Raw genomic sequence first — 19,757 nt, 5'->3', positions numbered from 1 at the left:
CCTAATTCAAATTCCTGTTCTACCACTTAAATAGCCACATGGCTTGGACAAGTGGCCTCACCTCCCTAAGCCTTAGTCTCCTGCTTTGTAAAATGAAGACATTAACAAGAGTTATCATACCACATAGGGCTAATGTATGTAATGAGGTAATCCGTGCAAAGCACTCTGTACCATGCTGAGCACCAAGGAAGTGCTCACTAAATGTTAGTTATTATTGTACTTATTGTCCAGAGAAAGCTCAATAGGGAGTTAGGACCAGGATACAACTCTCCTGACTTTGTGTCTAAAACTTTTTCTATTGCATCACTCTGCAGGATGCCAATAACTCATGAGCAGATACCTACACACTCAGTCACCCCGACATACTTACCCAGATGTCACATTTGCCAGGGAAAAAGCGTTCGGGGATCCGGGCAGCATACAGGGCAGCTCCTGTGATGTAGAGGCTGGCCATCAGCATCAACCAGCCTATCTGCCCTATGGTGGCGGCCTTAAGGAACCCCTCCGAGATGACATAGTGCAAGGTAGGAATGATTCCACTCAGGCCTAGGCCCAAAAACACTCCTAGGAGTCACAAGAAGAGAGTAAAGTAATGCAGAAGAGAAACAAAGAGCCAGAAGTCAGTATTACAGCACAGCACCATTAACTCTGTAAACTGAATATTTCAAAGTAGCATATAAAATTAGCTTCCAGTTTTAAAGGAAAAAGAAGGTTCTTCAAACTCTGGGACACTGTCACACAAGACAACACAGCTATGTTCTAAAGATTTACAAATGCAAGGAGCCAGCCGGGTGCAGTGGCTCACACCTGTAATCCCAGCACTTTGGGACCAGCCTGGCTAACAGGGTGAAACCCCATTTCTACTAAACATCCAAAAAGTAGCCAGGCGTGGTAGCGCACTCCTGTAATCCCAGCTACTCGGGAGGCTGAGGCAGGAGAATCACCTGAAGCCGGGGGCAGAGGCTGCAGTGAGCCGAGATCACGCCATTGCACCCCAGCTTGGGCAACAGGAGTGAAACTCCGTCTCAAAAAAAAAAAAAAAAAGCAATGAGCCTCACTAAGAGAGGCTTAGCTTAGTAAGTCAGCAGTCTTCAAGGGTTTTGAATTAATGTTGCTAAATGTTTTCGGAAAGGACAGCTCCAGGAGTTTATTTAAACTGTCCTAGCCTGTCCTTCTACAGACACAGGTTACAATACAAGCAATTTTACGTATCCCATCTTCTCTTTGAAGCAGCAGGCGTTGTTGGGGTGGAGAGGCGATGAATGATCACATCACCTGGCATCACCTATTTTTAATAGGAATCTAAGGCTGGGCGCAGTGGCTCAGCTCACACCTGTAATCCCAGCACTTTGGGAGGCCGAGGCAGGCAGATCACTTGAGGTCAGGAGCCAAGATGGCACCACTGCACTCCAGCCTGGGCTACAAAGCAAGACTCCATCTCAAAAAAAAAAAAAAAAAAAAAAAAAAGAAAGAAAGAAAGAAAAAGAAAAGAAAAGAAAAAAGAAGAAAAAATTTAATCTAAATCTATAACCTATAACTGGGCACTTAAAAATTGTTAAATGCCTTTAACAAATGACCTAATGGGGGTGGGGGATGGGAGAGAATACTATAAGCTCCCAGACCCCTAAATAGCAATCAAGTACAAAAGTCTAGCAAATCACTCAGCCACAGCCCTACTGCCTTACTGCCTCCAGAAGCATCTAATGTTTTTTTAAACTTCTGGATATGACCTAAGTTCTAAGATCAATTAAATGAGTCTCAACCAGCATTTTTTTAAATGAACTAGAATAAAATTTAAAATATCAGACTGTAACATACGTGGAGGATTAAATACTATTTTGTTAAAGTTTTGTAATTTATATATACATGAACTTATGTATAGATACACGTGTTCAGGACTGTAATAGAAAATGTCATGATGGAAAAAAAAATGTGAAGTCCACTGATCTAAATCCACTTTGAAACCCGTGTATCAGCCAAAGCAACACAGGAGCTCCCTGCCTCTGCCAGTAACTGCTCCTACATTTTGACACAGAGTTAACAATGACCCTTGCAAAACAAGCTGTCATTTGGTAAGCTTTCTCAACAGATAAAGAACCTATTACTTGCTTTGGACATTACCAAATAAACTGCTGGTATACAGCAATATATGTAAGCACAGCTATGGGATGCATACTCACAAATAAAATGGACATCTAAAAGAGAAGAGGAAAATGGCAATGCTGCTCTCACAACAGGTAAGAACCAAGCAGACCTAAAGAAAAACTATTTCCTACCTCTGCTCCTCTAAGGAAAGATTTGCTAGACTTTTGCACTATTCACTTTTTCTTTTCCTCTACATGCTAAGCAAAGGCTGCTAATGGTTTCTGCCTATCATTCTCTAAGTCAAAGGCTCAGGAATTTGGTTCTTCTGATGTATGTAAATAACAGAATGCTCAGCTGTACTCAGCAAAGACATTCTTATCTCATGTGCTCAAGCAGGCTTAACACCACTGTACTACTCAAGTACTGTTGAAAGCTGACCCTGACCAATGCTCATTTGCTCATATGAACACAAAAAGGAGGACGGCAGAGTGTTTTAACAGTGGTCACTGACATGAGGTTACTTCTGTGTCTAACCTTCCAGGTACCCCCGGATGATCCAGGGTTTAGATTTTAATACTAAATGGTTTTGGGGGTTTAAGGACGAAAGGAAAAACACTCCTTGTTCATTCTCAGTGGGCACTGAGCTTGACACTGAGTAGGAGACAAGAACATCTCTGCTAATTCCATGTCCTACAAGAAGACTCAGCCAAGGCACTGAGGGGCTTGTGGCTTTCTCTATGATCTCCAGCTAAACAGGCATTATCCTAAATATAAAAAGCCCCTTTATCCCTACATCAGAAGGGAGATATGGTGCCCACTTTAACAAAACATAATCAGCATGGGGGTGAAGCCTTAAGCAGATTATCCATTATAAAATAAAAATATAAAACAAAACAGAAAATGACAACAAAAAAAGAATCACTACAAAAAGTACACTCCACAATGAGTAAGAGAAATCATTGTTTACAAAAGTTATAGACTACCGCTTTCTGGATGGTGTTTAGCCATAAATTCAAGTAAGTAACAGTCCCAAATTATATCACCTCATACTCACCATGACCCCTCAACCCTAATGCTTTAAGACAATTAATAAACACTACTAACAACAACAACTACTACGACTACTACATAAAAAAACCCCCAACAATAGGAACTATGATTTCTTCATCTTGGCATCACAAATACACAGCATAATGTTTGGCAAATGGTAGAACTTTAATAAATAGTGAATTTAACTAGTGAATAAATGAATGTCGAATGTAGAACCTCCCCGTGCTCTTACCTGCTCTTACTCCCCGATACTGAGGGGTGGCAAACATGTCCCACTGGGAGACTATAATGGCTGCAATGCCCAGCACACAGATGACAATCAAGTAGATGAAGCAAGGTTGTGGATTACAGTAGAAAGAATAATAAAGCCAAGGAACAAAACTTCCCATAATCAGAAGAGCAATACCAGAGTAATCCAGTCTATGACAGAAAAAAAAAATCCATTTAATGCAGTAATTTAAAAACTACTGGCCACTACAGGTTCCAATTAATCCCTCATGACATAAGCCATCAACGACACCTAAGAGCCAAACTGGGTTGCTCTTTAATTTTTAAAAAAAAAAAAGTTTGCATGAGATGATATTAAGAATTCTGCCAACTCTGCTGAATGTTTTTCCCTAACGCACTACCTCTAAATCATTGGCCAAAATACGGACTTTACAGATACTTACTTAGAGAAGAGCCGAGAGACCCCCTCTGAGTGGCAGTAGACTGTGTGGAAGAGCCATGAAAAAGAAAGGCAGAGAATGGCTCCTAAGAAAAATAATCCAAAGACCACCTTCTCTTGCAGAGGGGCCACAAAGGAGATATTTGGGCGAAACATATAAAAGATCCCCAGGCACAGGAAGAATACACAACCTAGGAAAAAGAGCACAGAAAATAGATAAAATATCACCCTTTAGAAGAGACAGTATTATAACTGATTCTGTTTTCAATCCTTCTGCATTACAACAATATCTGAATCAAAAGTTCAATGAGAAAAATCTTCCAAATAACTGAAGCCTATCCAAAATTGTGGTTTACTTCCAACATTGTTGGTATCAGAAATACTTCAGCTTCATAAACTGAATATACAGAATATAAAAACTTATCTAAGGGCATAATCTAAAAAGAAATCAGACACTGCTGCTACTTCTTAGAAGATATAATGAAGCCACTTCTACCTCTAGATGTAGAATAGTTTCATTTATACAGTTTTTGGCACATACCTCATAGTCCAGCTTTCAAAGGTCCATTGTGCTTTTGCTTTTGTTTTTACAATGAATTCCAATACCCCTAAACCCTGCCAAGAAATACAGCTTTCCTCTACCAATAGCTGTCAGGGAGTGTCATGCTGTTTCTCTGGCCCTCATCAGCTGGTTCAGGAGATTCAAGAGTTAAGGACAAAATGCCTACTCAGGCCATTTCCTAACCAATTCTTACACTGTTCTACACAGAAAGATGCCATGTTCCTATTGCTTAGGGAGGGGCCACCTAACACAAGGCAGGCACAGAAATTTCAACTTCAACGTTTGCTAAGTAATTGTTTTATCATTTTAATTAAAAATTACCCTTGAATTAGAAGTCAGCAACAAACTTGATTTGACCCTCTACTCTCCTCTCACTATACTAGCAGGCAGGAACTTAGAGGCACCATGGAAATCAAATGTGTGATAAGAAATGCAAATCAAATGGAGTAAGGCCAGAAACTAGTATATTCACAAGGTTGTACAACCATCACCACTAACTAATTCCAAAATATTTTCATCACCCCAAACAGAAGTACTGTATCTGCTGTCATCCCCCATTCCCCACTCCTTACAGCCCTAAACAACCACTAATCTACTGTCTTTATGGATTTTCCTGTTCTGGACATTTCATGCATGTAGAATCAAACGACATGTGACCTTCTGTGTCTGGCTTCTTTCACTTAGCAAATGTTTTCAAGGCTCACCCATGCTGTGGCATGTATCAGTGCTTCATCCCTTTTTGCAGCTAAATAATACTCCAGTGTATGAATACACCATATTTTGTTTCTCCATTACCAGTCGATAGACATCTGGGTTGCTTCTACTTTTTAGCTATTATGAATAATGTTGCTGCAAACTTCTGTGTTCATGTTTTTATGTGAACATGTTTTCAGTCATCTTGGGTAATATACTAGGAGTTGATTTCTGGTAACTCTATGTAACTTTTTGAGGAACTGCCAGACTTTTCCATGGGGACTGCCCCATTTCACATTCCTACTGGCAACGTATGAAAGTTCCAATTTCCCCACATCCTTGCCAAGACTTGTTATTTTTCATTTTCTTGATTATAGCCATCTTAGTGGGTGTGAAGTGTTGAGATTTCTCACTGCATTTCTCAAAGCATTTGATTTGCGTTTTCCTAAATGCCTAACGAAGACAAACATCTTTTCATGTGCTTATTGGCCATTTTAGATCTTCTCTGGAAGAACATCTATTCAGATGTTTTACCCATTTTTAAAATCGGTTGTCTTTATTGTTGAGTTGTAGGAGTTATTTATTAGATCCTTACCAACTAGCTGATTTGTAAATATTCTCTTCTCTATGGGTTGTCTTTTCACTTTCTTGATAATGCACTTTGATATACCAACGTTTTTAATTTTGATGAAGTCCAATTTATCTATTTTTTCTTTGGTGGCAATTCTCAGAAACAGTCACCTAATCCAAACTTACAAGGATTTATATATGTTTTCTCCTAAGGATTTTATAGTTTTTGCTCTTATGTTTGGGTCTTTGATCCATTTTGGGTTCACTTTTGCATATGTGAGTTCGGGATCATTCTTTTACATATGGCTCAGTTATCCCAGCACCATTTGTTGGAAAGACTATTCTTTCCTCTACAGTATTCTTTCTTTAATATACAATCATTATGGAGAAAAAATTACAGTCCATATTCTACTTCAGGCCAAACTGAAAATTAGCAGTGCATATAAGTAATGCATTTTAAAAGATCAGATTACTTCTATTAAATAATACTTTCTTCTCAGTGGTCACTACAATATGAAACCACATTTTGTATAGCAACTTTTACTTGGCCTGGTTTGAGGACAAGATCTGAAAATCTAGTAGAAAGAAATATAACTTAAGTTATAACAAAATCATAGTGCAAACCAGGATAAACTACGAGTAAACCAGTCAGAAAATTCATCATTAGAAATTCAGAAAACAAAATGGCAAATCCAAATACATTTCTGAAGTTCTGTGCTTACCCTCAAATACATGAAAATAAAAAGGAAGAAAGTGAATCACCAGCTCATTACATCACTGACATTACATACCTAAGAGATGTGTCCAAATGTTGCCTGTTTCTGTGTGTATTCTGAAAATGCTCTTAAAACAGGCCCGGAAAGAAGGCATAGGAGGCCGGTGTCCATGCAAGAGGAAGTCATTATCCTTGAGCCAGTCTGGTAGTACATCATGAGGGATCACTCGCCACCGACCTTCCCATACCTGGCAGAGAGGTATTATCAAACATCTTTGTGATTTTAGTTGTCAATTTACCAACACTGACCCCTAACAACTGTGTCTTATCACACTGTTTTATAATGGGAAAAACAATTCATTTTTAAAAAGGCAAACATCTCAAAATGTATAATGTCTTATATTCTGAGTTCTTTAAAGACTGATGAAAAATATATTTTTGCCGGGCATGGTGGCTAAGGCTTTAATCCCAGCACTCTGGGAGGCCAAGGTGGGTGGATCACCTGAGGTCAGGAGCTCGAACCCCATCTCTACTAAAAATACAAAAAATTAGCCGGGTGTGGTGGCACATGCCTGTAATCCCACCTACTCGGGAGGCTGAGGCAGGAGAATTGCTTGAACCCGGGAGGCGGAGGTTGTGGTGAGCTGAGATGACGCCATTGCACTCCAGCCTGGGCAACAAGAGCAAAACTCTGCCTCAAAAAAAAAAAAAAAAAAAAAGAAAGAAAAAATATACTTTTAAGTGGGGGCCTTAGGAAAAGGAAAGAGTAAACAAATTTATAGGAAATGCCCTAAAAGAGTGGTTTCAAACTTTGTTTCAACCTGGCTAATGGTGGGATGAAGGTTCCAAAGTCTCACTCATACTGACCTCCTTCATCCTACCTATATAACAGACTTTACCTCTGATAAATCCCTGTGGTGTTAATATGAACATTTTTATATTTAATATTCCTATTGGTAAAAACAGAATTACATAGAATCATACTTTTGTGCCTTTTGCTAAAATCTCTCCCTCCATCTTACTCTTTCTTCTCTTCCCACTATGCAAATATGATGAGGCAGAAAAGAAAGAGCACAGGAGTCAGAAAATTGTGGACCCCTGGCATTAACTAGCTATATGAGATTTAATTAATTAAAAAACCTCCAACCTGCAGCTCCTTCATTTGTAAAATAGCGCTTCAGTTACTTCATAGGGAAATCATGAAGATCAAACAAAATGACACAAAGCATTTCATGAATTAGTTAGTAATCCCTGGCATCTACTCAAAGCCAGTACATGACTATCCCCAGGGGCTATCTCCTGTCAGACAGTTAGTGACTAATCCATCTTCCTTCTCATGCTGCAGAGAGATGGTAAAGAAGCTCAGCCCTAACCACCCTTTCAGTCCCTCAGAGCCCTTTCCTCCCGTTTCCTCATGGTCCCTCCCGCATCAGATTCTAGAGGAAAAGGGATCAGGAATCCGATATCCCCTCTGTAGGAAGTCTGTCAACCTCTGCACTCTGCTTCTTTTAATGTCTCATAGCCCCGAGAGCTCACACCACAAGGATCACTTAATCTTGACTAACTTGCTTCTGCTAGACAGAAAGATGTAAGGAAAAATGGCAGGCACATGGTTTATCTTCCAGCTAATGTGGGCTCAGCAGTTCTTCCAGTCTATTACCCTATAAAGCAAGAATCCAGGCTGCAAATCAGCAAGATTCACCTTCAGACAATGACCTCCACCCTACCCACTACAGGGTCTTGTGACAATATGGGTAAGCCATGGAAACTTGGCTCTCTCTCTACTCTATGGAAAGACTGCCACTTACTCACCAGCTACTGTGCCCATTCCTTTTGCTCCACAACCTGTTTCTTGTTCTCTGCTCTCTTACTTCCTTACAGATATTTGTAAAAGAACTAATCCTCTGTGTAACATCTCCACATCCAAAGGAAGTGAGGACTAACAATTTAAGAACAGATGTGTCCCTCTTAACACTCTAACCAAACTAGCCCCCTGCCTCTTCCCTACTCTTCCTGCCCCCAGCCATACAAAACCTCTCCTCCCTCACTTTCCAACTCAAAACGTGGGGTCTGTGGTTACTGGTGCTAATGTGGCCATTCTATGCTTGCTTCTAACATACAATAAAATAAAATAATGCCAAAAGACTAATCTATATTTTTAACATCTGCTGCTAATAGTACTACCACTTACAAAAGTAGCTGTATGAGATCTTCCACAGGACTTTATGGAGAGAAAGAGAAAGGGGATCAGGGATCCAGTATCCCTTCTGTTGGAACTGCTGGAAGTCTGTCAACCTCTGCAGTCTGCTTCTTTTAGTGTCAGAGAGAGACCAAGATACTGAATTTTTTGCATCAAATTTGAATTTGGGAAAAGACCACTATTGTTGAGATTAACCTTACAGAATGTTGCTATTACCTTACTTTGGGGGAATTTTATTTTCTGAGAGGGAGAGGAAGACAGAAATCAACCCTTACATCTTCAAGGCAATTCACAATGTGCACACAGCTCTGCTGTATCCAAACTGCTACTCTGCTACCCCACACAGACAAAAGAGTCATATGTTCCTTTTTTACATTCAAAAAGAATATGTGAGTTTCTTATTGGTTATATATGCATATAATTTCAGAGTGATTTTCCCTGGTATTTCTAAACAAATGTTCTAGTGGTCTAAATACTGAGACAAGGAGCTATACTTTCTTAATTACACTGCAATTAGTGACACATTCAACAGACACTGCACCCTCATTCTCAACCTGGAGTCATATACAGTCAGCCAAATTCCAACACAAATAGGTATCCTCTTTTACCCCCTAGAATAAAAAAATAAGATCACGGCTTAGCCAAAGACATATTTATTTATAAGCTTGACAAAGACACTGCCTACCTTCAAATATCTTAGTAATAATCCACTGGGTATGTGGATATATTAGACCATAAAATGCACAAAAACATTTCTTAAAAAAACAGCTGGACGCAGTGGCTCACGCCTGTAATCCCAGCACTATGGGAGGCCGAGGCGGGCAGATCACGAGGTCAGGAGATGGAGACCATCCTGGCCAACATGGTGAAACCCCATCTCTACTAAAAATACAAAAATTAGCCGGGCATGGTGGCACATGCCTGTAATCCCAGCACTATGGGAGGCCGAGGCGGGCAGATCACGAGGTCAGGAGATGGAGACCATCCTGGCCAACATGGTGAAACCCCATCTCTACTAAAAATACAAAAATTAGCCGGGCATGGTGGCACATGCCTGTAATCCCAGCTACTTGGGAGGCTGAGGCAGGAGAATCACTTGAACCCGGGAGTTGGAGGTTGCAGTGAGCCAAGATCGTGCCACTGCACTCCAGCCTAGCGACAGAGCGAGACTCAACAATAAATAAATTTCAAAAACAAATAAACTCCCCATAGCATACATCCTATTCCCACATGGACCTGGTTATGCTGGTAAATAGCAAACACTGAAGTCTAGGGGAAAAAAGAGTGACCAAGATCAAACGTGGAAACTCTAAAGACTAAATTATCCACAGCACATTTCATATTAAACTGTCTCTGTTTACTTGCTTCCAGTCCAAGAAATAGAATCCCTGTGCCACTAGACACGGCTGGTTTTCAAGTGTGGTCAGTTGCACTGCCATGGCAGGGTTGAGCCACACCAGACAACACTGTGTAACAGGATGCCTCTTCATTCTGCTGTCATCAACAAACTGCTAAGGGATATTTACAACACTCCTTTTCCTTCAGAAGATCATAGTTTGTAGCAAACAAATGTCCTGCCCTATTTATTCTCTGATTTGCTGTTAAATTTAGAGTTTTATTTGTTTTATTCTTTGTTCTCTGTTCAGAAAGGGAGAGGACAAAAAGGCAGTTAAGTCAGCTACCGTACCCCGCTGATCTCTAAATATTAAAATCCCCTAATGGCCCAGATACTAAATTTGCCAACTTTGAGAGATTTCTTCACACCAAATTTGCATTTTAAAAACAAAATAATCTTTTGTATCCCTTTGTGCTAATTCTCCTGAGACAGTGATCACTAGAATGAATCTATTGTTCTGTTCAGTTGTTTCTTCACTCATTTTCAAACTGGCTAAAATTTTCTATTACAGACCCATAAATGTTTAAACTCCCCCTGAAAACCCACTGGACCCTTAGTCTTGGAAAGGATGTCTATGTTCAGATCACAATGTTCTCTTTTCATACCCTGGTCCAAAGTAATAGCATTCTAAGTCCACTGATCCCAATTATTTCCAGCATTATTGTGAATGTAAGAAAACCTATATTTAGTCTCCTGGATCTAAGACCATGTACATAAAAAGTTTTGGTTTCATAAAAGCCATGAAAAGCTAAGTGTCACAAAAATTTCTCTCTAAATAATAAAGAGTTCTCCAGAAATGTTTAATAAATCAATTTACATACACATACGTATACACACAGACTGATCGACTTACATTAATTAGATTCTACCTGCCAGGGCCCTTATTGATCTGATTGATCAAGTACCTACAAGTTTACCAGTGTGTCTATTTTCTCTAAGCAGGCAAACTCAATTCTAATTACTATTTTAGAAAAAAAAAAAAAAAAAAAGAATCCCATAATAGGTCCTAGGGAATCAAGACAATGGACTGGAAGAAAAACCTTAAGAGACAGAATGTATACCAGCTGAACTGAAAATACCAGATGTACATGGAAACTGGAAAATCTCTCTCAAGAGTAGCCTGATTACTCACAGAATCCCTAGAAAGAACAGTACATTTGCCATTGCAGTCACTCAGCAGAACAGATTTAAGGGACCTGCGGAGGGCATTTTCATATCTCCAGGCGTCAACCACTTCTGACTATGTTTCATTCTGTTTGTCTAAACCACCAATAAGACATTTACTCTGTTAACCTACATTAGGAAATGTTTGTTTCCCAGCTGGATATCCTAGTTTTATCAGAGCTTTATCATGGCTACTACAAGCCAACAAATGTATTCTGTCTTCAACAGGATTAGAGTCCCAAGACCACTTCTGTCCCCATCTTGCCACAGATCTTCCCCAAAGCAAACCAAAGGCTATAGTACTACCACTCTCTTTAAAGGTTTCTGTTTTGGAAGGGCTAAATATATAGCATGACAATGACAAGAAACTGCACTCTTACCTTACAAACAAATTCTTCCATTTTTTCCATAGCATGATGGGCTTGTAAGAGAGGGGACATGCCCATAAAGCCCTCATCTTCCTGAGGAGCTTCATCACTGTATTCATGTTCCTCAGAGCTCTGCAAGGCAATCACAGAAACAGTCAAGGACAGAGACTGGGAGCCAAATGACACAATCAATACATTTCCCTTGTGGAATTATAATGAAATTCTTAAGGTCAAAACAAGGCCTTAGACAAGAATCAACAATATAGTAAGTCAGTTTATTATAGAATTATTAGTATTAAAAATGAACACTAGTACTCAATTCTTCTCTGACAGATGAATTAACTGTCTACTATAGCAGCATCTCTGTTTCAGTAGCAAATTCCTGGCTTTACTGGTTTGTTTTTTAAAAATTATGTCATAGACCCCATAATAATATTACATAAAGTTGAGAAATTACTAAGGGGAAAACCTCCAAGACTCGCACCTGGGACACATAAAATAACTAACTGTGATACACAATGTGGTAAGTACTCTAGTGGCAGAGAAAGAAAGGGGAGAAAAACATTTAATAAATTTTTTAAATATATCCAACACAGAGGAAAAGGCTTTATATATAGGTCATCTAACTTAATCCTAACAACCACCTTATTAAGTAAGTATTCTCATTCCCATTTAACATATAAGAGCATTAGGCAAAGAAGTTAAGTAAGTTGTCCAAGGTTAAAGCTGAAGTGGAAAAGTCAAACTCCAAAACCCACTGCCTTTCCACATTCTGGAGAAAATGACTGATTTGTCTAGAGAAATGGAAAAAGAAGTGACAATCTGGTATGGTCTAAAGAGATAAATTACTAAAATTAAAATTTCTGCCTCCAGACCAAGGTTCATACTGGTTTAGATAAAATGATATTGTGAGAAGAAGGGCAGTAGACTGCAAGTCAGGAGACCAAAGTGGTGAGGCCAGCTCCACCACTAACATCAATGGATCTTCACTGCAGGTCCATTTTCTCCCTATGTATCAATGGAGGAGTTTAAACAATCTCTACAGTCTTCTACATCTCTAAAAAAATTCTATAATTCTTTAACTCAATGAATAAGACAGCACAAGAGAACCATAATTCCGTATGTAACCAAGAGTCTGTTTAGATAAACAGTACTGCTAACATGACTGCACAAAGAAATGAATAAATCCTCTACCTCTAATCAAAAAACTACTTGGTAAGAATGAACACAGAGGCAATGGGTAATCTACTACAACACTTTAAATTTGATCTTGTTTAAAAGGAAATTCTGAGATTTTAATTTTCCTATTCTTCAGTTTATAAGACACTAACTAGAGGCTATGATGCGGCATGTGAGACATGTTATACACCCAGTCTGATTTTATAAAAACACATAATCTCCAAGAAAACCATCTTGAATAAAATAACCTCTCCATCTTTGTTTACCTAAAACTTACCATCTATCCTTCAATGACTAACCTTCATAGTTCCTATTTAAAACCCTTCTTTAACTATCCTAAACTCGTGTTCCTCAACCTTTCATTACTGCTACCCACAAGCCCCGGGACCTTTTTTTTTTTTTAGTTTGAGACAGCGTTTTTCTTTGAGACCCCAGGGTCTTGCTCTGTCACCCAGGCTCCTGGAGTACAGTGGTGCGATCATGGCTCACTGCAGCCTCAACCTCCTGGCCTCAAGCAATCCTCCACCTAAGCCTCCTGAATAGCTGGGGCTACAGGTGTACACCACTGTGCGCACGTGTGTGTGCATGCGTGCACTACAGGTATGCACCACTGTGTCTGTTGTGTGCACATGCGTGTGTGTAGAGACGAGGTCTGTGTTGCTCAGGCTGGTCCTGAACTCCTGGCCTCAAGCAATCCTCCTGCCTCAGCTTCCAGTGTGTTGGGATTACAGGTATGAGCCACTGCACCCGGCCCTGGGACATTTTAGATTGCTTTCCTCATCCCCATGAATTTTAATAACACAGATATACTATCTATGTACTGTGGCCCTATGGGGGGTTCCAAACCATAGTAGTATTTAATAGTTTTTCATCCCCTACCCCACCAAGAACCAATTTTCATTAGAGACTGCATAACCTATCTAATCCACAGCAATTGCTTCTTCTGACTTCTGTTTCTTCTGACTACTTCTTCTGACTTCTTTAGCACTTAAGTCTGTGCCTCTCATTTGACAGTAATATCTGATTACAGCTCTTTTACTGACTAATACTGTTTTATTTAACGTTTAATAGAATTTTACATTTTTAGCGTATCATTTCCTAAACTAGATTTTTAAGTGTCTGTCTTCTTCCCCATGGCTTCTGGAACATACTTACATGATGGCTAAATTAATAAATGCTCTAGGAGACTTTCAACAATAAGTTAATGAGGGCTGTGCCTAATTAAACACGAAATTAAAATGACAAAATTCCATTAAAATTATATAAAACCTGAAAACGGGCAATAGCTTGAAATGATTATAGCAGACCGATTTTAAAATATAAAATTATGTTATATAAAATAGCTCAGATATTTGCACATATTCAACATGTATTTGATTCTCCAAAGAAACAGAAACAAAGAGTCTTTATTCTCATACAAATTACTGTCAGCCATTTCAAAACTACAGATATGTACATAAAACACAATATGGCTAATGTATACTACCATTAAGTAAACATGATGAAACTGCACTCCGAATCAATGTGACTCAGTAAGTAATCAGTGAGATTACTCACAATCAGTAATTCTGATTATCAGGCTAAGTGCAACTGGTTACATATAAGACTACTGATAGCGGCCAAGACAGGAGGATGGCTTGAGCCCAGGAGCTCGAGACCAGCCTGGGCAACATGGTAAAACCCCATCTCTACAAAAAATATAAAAATTAGCCAGGAGTGGTGTTGCGTGCCTGTCTGCAGTCCCAGCTACTCAAGAGGCTGAGGGGGAGGACTCCTTGAGCCCCAGGAGGTCGAGGTTGCAATGAGCTGTGATCTTGCCATTGCATTCCAGCCTGGGCAACAGAGCTACACCCTGTCTCAAAAAAAAAAAAAAATTACTTTAGTAAAGATAAATATTTCCATCCATCCCAATATATCAGCAAGATTCAGAATCTTTATAAAAGAATTATTTCCGGCCAGGCACAGTGTCGCACATCTGTAATCCCAGCACTTTGGGAGGCCAACGTGGGTGCACCACCTGAGGTCAGGAGGTCGAGACCAGCCTGGCCAACGTGGTGAAACCCTGTCTCTACTACAAATACAAGAATCAGCCAGGTGAGGTGGCGAGCGCCTGTAATCCCAGATACTCAGCAGGCTTGAGACAGGAGAATCGCTTGAACCCAGGAGGTGGGGGTTGCAGTGAGCCGAGATCGTGCCATTGCACTCCAGCCTGGGCAACAAGAGAAACAAACAAAAACAAAAATATTTCCTTCAGAAGGGCAAAGTATTAATAAATCTGTTGATTTATCAAGTACTATGACCAATTCCTACCCTTGTATAAAGGAATATTCACAAATATGTTCTCAAAGGATAAATTAAAATACTAGACCATAATTAACTATTTATTGTGTTCAAGTATTAACGGAGTTGCTAATGCGGTATCCACGTGGTGTGGGTGGTGGTAAATGCAGTTCCCTGGGTTAGAGAGAGGATAAAGTAGGAATACAGTGGCAGAGTTAAACACTGGCTAAAACAGGATAAAAAAATACTTTCCCTAGGGTATACCATATGTCACATACTGATGGCTTGGAAAGACTATGCTAGACGCTATATTTAAAATAGTCTCTGTCTTCCAATATTAAGTCCAAATAACTATTTTATTATGAGTGAAATTACTATTTCTAATTTCCATCCAACAGCCACCAAACCACAGTACCCAAAGATACCTCTCTGAACAATAAATTGTATCTATATTCAATGATCACATACATGCTATGTTCTGCTTCTGTTGTCATACTCCTTACCACACCCTCAACAAAATTATGACAAGAAACATGACATTGTGACAGATTAAACAAAACCAAAGCTGCCAAGAATAAAGGCATAAAACTTAATTCTCCAGGTTTTTCTATGAATAACTATATTTAAACTTGTAGAGGTCAATGCTTTGAAATGAGCACAAAGACATTTTGAAATATCTCCCCCCTCCCGCCATCTGTTTTCAGTAAAGTCCATCTGTGAGAACTTTGCTGACTGTATTTCAAAACATAGTAACATTTGACTTTGATGATCTGTCCAAACTGCAATCTAAAATGAGAATTTTCCAGAGTACACTTTACCTTTGGAAAGACAGAGAACCATAGTGATAAAGATAAAAGGTCTTTAAGATCAGTCTAATATGAAAATAATTCACAAACCTATTGGGTATTTATTGGTTTTGGCCTAACTCAATTCAACAGAGTAATTCAGTTTAACAAATATTTATTAGATGATTAAAAATAAGATGAATAAAACATAGTCTCTGTCTTCCATGGACTTACAATCTAATAAAGTGCTAAATTAGCCAAATAAATGACTTCATAGAAAAAAAGGTATAGCTAGTTCAAAGATAAACATGATGAGGCTCAGGAAAGCCTGCATGAAGAATAAAAATTTTGCAAAGATGAGATAAAGGAAAATAACCAAGAGGGAAAAGCAAAAGTGCCATGTTGAGAAAAAGAGACTAGTTCATCTAGAGCTTCGGGGGCATTTAGGAAAGTAGCAAAACATAAATGAGGTATTTAAATGTTAGTGGAAGTACAAGAAGTGCCACAAAGACTCACAATCATGATACTATCTACCATCCACAATTAGATGAAAAAGGTCAAGAAATGGTACAATATCCAGGGCTGGAGACAGTAAACCTTTGATTAAAATCTGTCTGCCTTTATAAATGTCATTGAGAACTGAGACCTTCTGCATTCACACAGCTTAATTATAAGGACTAAGATCTAAGGCCCCTATATCAACAGAACTTTATTATTTGTTCTCGGAAATTCTTGCCCAGGAAGGTAAGAATGCAAACCAGTAAATAACTTCATCATTAGCTTTAGGAATTTCTCAAAAATTCATTTAACTGAACAACAGACTGCTCAATTAGATCCTTAATCATTGCTCAACTGGGCAAACATGCTCACTTACCAAACAAATATTTGTTTATCAAGACTTGGTCTAAGAATTCTATCACAAACTCAGAACAGGGCCAAGTAAAATCTCCTTAAACTACTTGAAACCAGACCCCAAAACCCTGTAAATATCCATATCCAATACTTTCTTTCTGAAATACTTCTAGGACTCTTTAGGGCAGTGTTCACCCTTACTGGAGTATGTAATAAACCTGGCTTAGTTTGATCAACAGGTGATTTTTATGGTCTTTTTACAAGTTGACAGGTTGAAGCCAGCCTTAACTTTAGAAATTGGAAATGTGTAGCAAGGGCATTAGCAAGCTGATATTACTAACAAATGAAAACAAAGAGGTTTGTGGAAACAAAGGTATCTACAAAAAAAAATGATAGCTGAAGAATAAGTATTGATGGATGTATACCCAGTATTCTCCAAAAGAATAACTATAATATCTAGTCTATATGAATATTCATTTTGGCCTGCCTAGAAATATATATACTCTGACTTCCATCAAAGCTTAATGGAAAAGATCTTTAAAATCACTCAGTTTTTTAAAAATTCTCAAATAGCAATTCTATCTTTTTTTTTTTTTTTTTTTTTTTTTGACGAAGTCTTGCTCTTGTCCTCCAGGCTGGAGTGTGATGGCGCAATCTTGGCTCACTGCAACCTCTGCCTCCTGGGTTCAAGCGATTCTCCTGCCTCAGCCTCCCGAGTAGCTGGGATTATAGGCGCCTGCCACCACGCCCGGCTAATTATTTATATTTTTAGTAGAGACGGGGTTTCACCATGTTGGCCAGGCTGGTCTCGAACTCCTGACCTCAGGTGATCCACCCGCCTCAGCTTCCCGAAGTGCTGGGATTACGGGCGTGAGCCACCACACCCGGCCTCTAATCTTAATTGAATTTCTTAAGCAGGCTTCTCCATGAAAATAAAATGAAGTGATTGACAAGAGTCTATTTACAAGTTAGTTTTCTTACAATAAACTATTATATAGTGGCATTCTTGATTTTGGTTAAAGTAAACCAGTTTAACAGAATATGAAGGTTGAATGAATAAAAGTTCCTTATCTCCCAATTTATAAAGAAGAATCTGGAGCAGAAGAAAAGTAGGACAACCATAAAGGCTGATCTCTTTATTCAACCTAATATCTTGAAAGCTCAGAAAGGGAGCAGGGAGGCAGAGGGGAGCCATAAAAATAAAGATCAGGACAACCTGGTTTGAAATGCCTCTCTTATATTTTTGTCCAAAAGCTTACAGAATGCCTCCTAACTATATACTTTAGCAAATATAGTTAAAAGAGTCCAGGCTTTAGGGTCAGAGGCCTAGGGGCAATGGTCTAATCATTTCAACCAGTACACAACATTACACAAAATTTGAAACTGATATAAATTGCAAAAAGAAATTTGAATGATGGCATAATACTGGACCAGGAGGCTAAAGACCTAGATTTCAGGCCCCAGGTGTCTTGTCTTACTTACTACCACATCCTCCACCCCACTATACACCTTGACCTTTCATTCCAGCTATGCTAGAAATTTTTCAGGTTCAGACATCAGTATGTGCCAGTGTGTACTCAATAAACATTAGCTATTATTATTACTATTCCCTACAGGCATCGTATTACATCTGCTTCTGAATCTTCACATCTGCTGTTCCCTTTGTCTAAAATGTCCTTTAGTCCTTTCTTAGCTAAATCCATTTGCAACTGGAGTTACTACCATAGTAATCTGTGCATAAAACCACACAGCACTCACCACAAATGTACTGATTTACCTGTCTCTCCAACTAAACTACATGCTGCTTAAGGGCAAAAACTATGTCTTCTCAAGTCCAAAGTGCCAACACATGGTAAAGAAACTAAAAACATTTGTAGAAGGATTAAAAGCATCCATGTGTCTACTAAACTAAATGACTGATGGGATCCCTTCCACTCTTGACAGTCTAGGAACCAAGTCTGAGTACCTGAAAGAAAGTTGGTACTATTTAAGAGAAATTAGGATTAGAAAATTAGAATAGAAGGAAAAGCTGATGGGGGAGTGGACAGTTAACCTTAGTTTAACATTAGTTCAATTTGAAATGGTTACAAGTCCAATAAAGAAGAAAGCACTTCTCATTTGAAGGCTATAGAAGAAAAAAGGGGGAAAAAAAAGAAGACTGCACTAAGATGATAGATTTAGAAATCACCTTTATGAAAAGGCTGTTGAAATCAAGGGTGGCTGAGATATGTGGATAACTTCAAGATGTGTTTATCAGGACTTACTACAGTTATGGAGTAGTCAAGTACTATTATAAAGGAAGGACAGAGTAACAATTATTATTTATTATACACTACATGCCAGACATTGTACTAAGTGCTTTTTACAAATTAATCAAACCCTCATAACAATTTTCTGAAATGAGTATATTTCTATTCCCATTTTATTAAGTGGAAATCTAGATCAAACATGGTAAATGAAGAAACAGAAGCTAAGAGAAAGTACACAGCTTTAAGTAGTACCTTAATTCCCAACCTAACACCACTATCTTGGCTAATTACTTCAAAAATTATGCAAGTGTATATGCACATTAAATGTAATCTGTAGACTGAATAAATGTCTCATATTCATAAAGTAGGTGTAACTAATTTAAAATCATGTAGGTGCTGCGTGAATCACAAAATACAAATTCACTTAAGATGAACTGAATTCATAGCCAATTTCTATCATGTATTTTTTTCAAACTAATATTTAAAATGTGAGTATCATGTAGTGAGGTCTGTTAAATATTTTTGATGTTTAAAGGGAGAATGGGATCATCTTCCTAACGCAGTAATTCCACTCACAGGTATGTAGCTAATGGAAGTGCATACATTTGTTCACTAAAAAACAAGTACTGGAATGTTCATAGCAACACTATTTATAATAGCCCCAAGTTAGATACAACCCAGATTGCCTTCATATAAATAAAATAAAAATTGGTACAGTAATATAAAGAAATAACACAGACCAATAAAAATGAATAATCTACAGCTATACCCAGAAAATACAGATGAATTTCACAAACATCATACTGAGCAAAAGAAGCCAGATACAAGAGTACATATGGAATGATTACAATGAGATAAAGTATAAAAACAAGCAAAATTAATCCATGCCATTAGAAGTCAGGGTAATGGTTACCTTTGGGGGAGTGGGAATAGGCAGTTACT

The 19,757-nt window shown here is 38.5% G+C and overlaps 1 protein-coding gene across 10 annotated transcripts in view, besides 3 other annotated features; it reads right to left on the bottom strand.

Moving 5' to 3' along the window:
• Positions 1-19,757, bottom strand: part of ADIPOR2 (adiponectin receptor 2) — a 97,605-nt gene that overhangs the window by 4,231 nt on the left and 73,617 nt on the right. For 7 of the 10 annotated variants that reach the window (XM_011521024.2, NM_001375364.1, NM_001375365.1 and 4 more), the window contains 5 exons: positions 11,483-11,602; positions 6,419-6,590; positions 3,807-3,993; positions 3,368-3,555; positions 371-564 (listed from right to left, as the gene is read on the bottom strand). In XM_011521024.2, coding sequence (XP_011519326.1) covers positions 371-564; positions 3,368-3,555; positions 3,807-3,993; positions 6,419-6,590; positions 11,483-11,602 — 861 coding nt within the window. Of the gene's footprint in view, positions 1-370; positions 565-1,333; positions 1,433-3,367; positions 3,556-3,806; positions 3,994-6,418; positions 6,591-11,482; positions 11,603-19,757 lie in introns of those variants that run through there. The other 3 variants (XM_047429547.1, XM_047429548.1, NM_001375363.1) reach the window with 2 other exon arrangements.
• Positions 7,350-7,867: an enhancer, noted in NCBI's record as "NANOG-H3K27ac hESC enhancer chr12:1885743-1886260 (GRCh37/hg19 assembly coordinates)". NCBI's record gives its function as "activates a minimal SCP1, AML or CMV promoter by ChIP-STARR-seq in naive H9 embryonic stem cells {active_cell/tissue: H9 hESC(naive)}" and the evidence as "EXISTENCE:reporter gene assay evidence [ECO:0000049][PMID:30033119]".
• Positions 7,868-8,386: an enhancer, noted in NCBI's record as "NANOG-H3K27ac hESC enhancer chr12:1885224-1885742 (GRCh37/hg19 assembly coordinates)". NCBI's record gives its function as "activates a minimal SCP1, AML or CMV promoter by ChIP-STARR-seq in primed H9 embryonic stem cells {active_cell/tissue: H9 hESC(primed)}" and the evidence as "EXISTENCE:reporter gene assay evidence [ECO:0000049][PMID:30033119]".
• Positions 18,047-18,547: an enhancer, noted in NCBI's record as "H3K4me1 hESC enhancer chr12:1875063-1875563 (GRCh37/hg19 assembly coordinates)". NCBI's record gives its function as "activates a minimal SCP1, AML or CMV promoter by ChIP-STARR-seq in naive H9 embryonic stem cells {active_cell/tissue: H9 hESC(naive)}" and the evidence as "EXISTENCE:reporter gene assay evidence [ECO:0000049][PMID:30033119]".

This window comes from Homo sapiens, chromosome 12 (genome assembly GCF_000001405.40).
Source record: "Homo sapiens chromosome 12, GRCh38.p14 Primary Assembly".
Lineage (NCBI taxonomy): Eukaryota > Metazoa > Chordata > Mammalia > Primates > Hominidae > Homo > Homo sapiens.
This window is presented reverse-complemented; position numbering and strand designations above follow the sequence as displayed.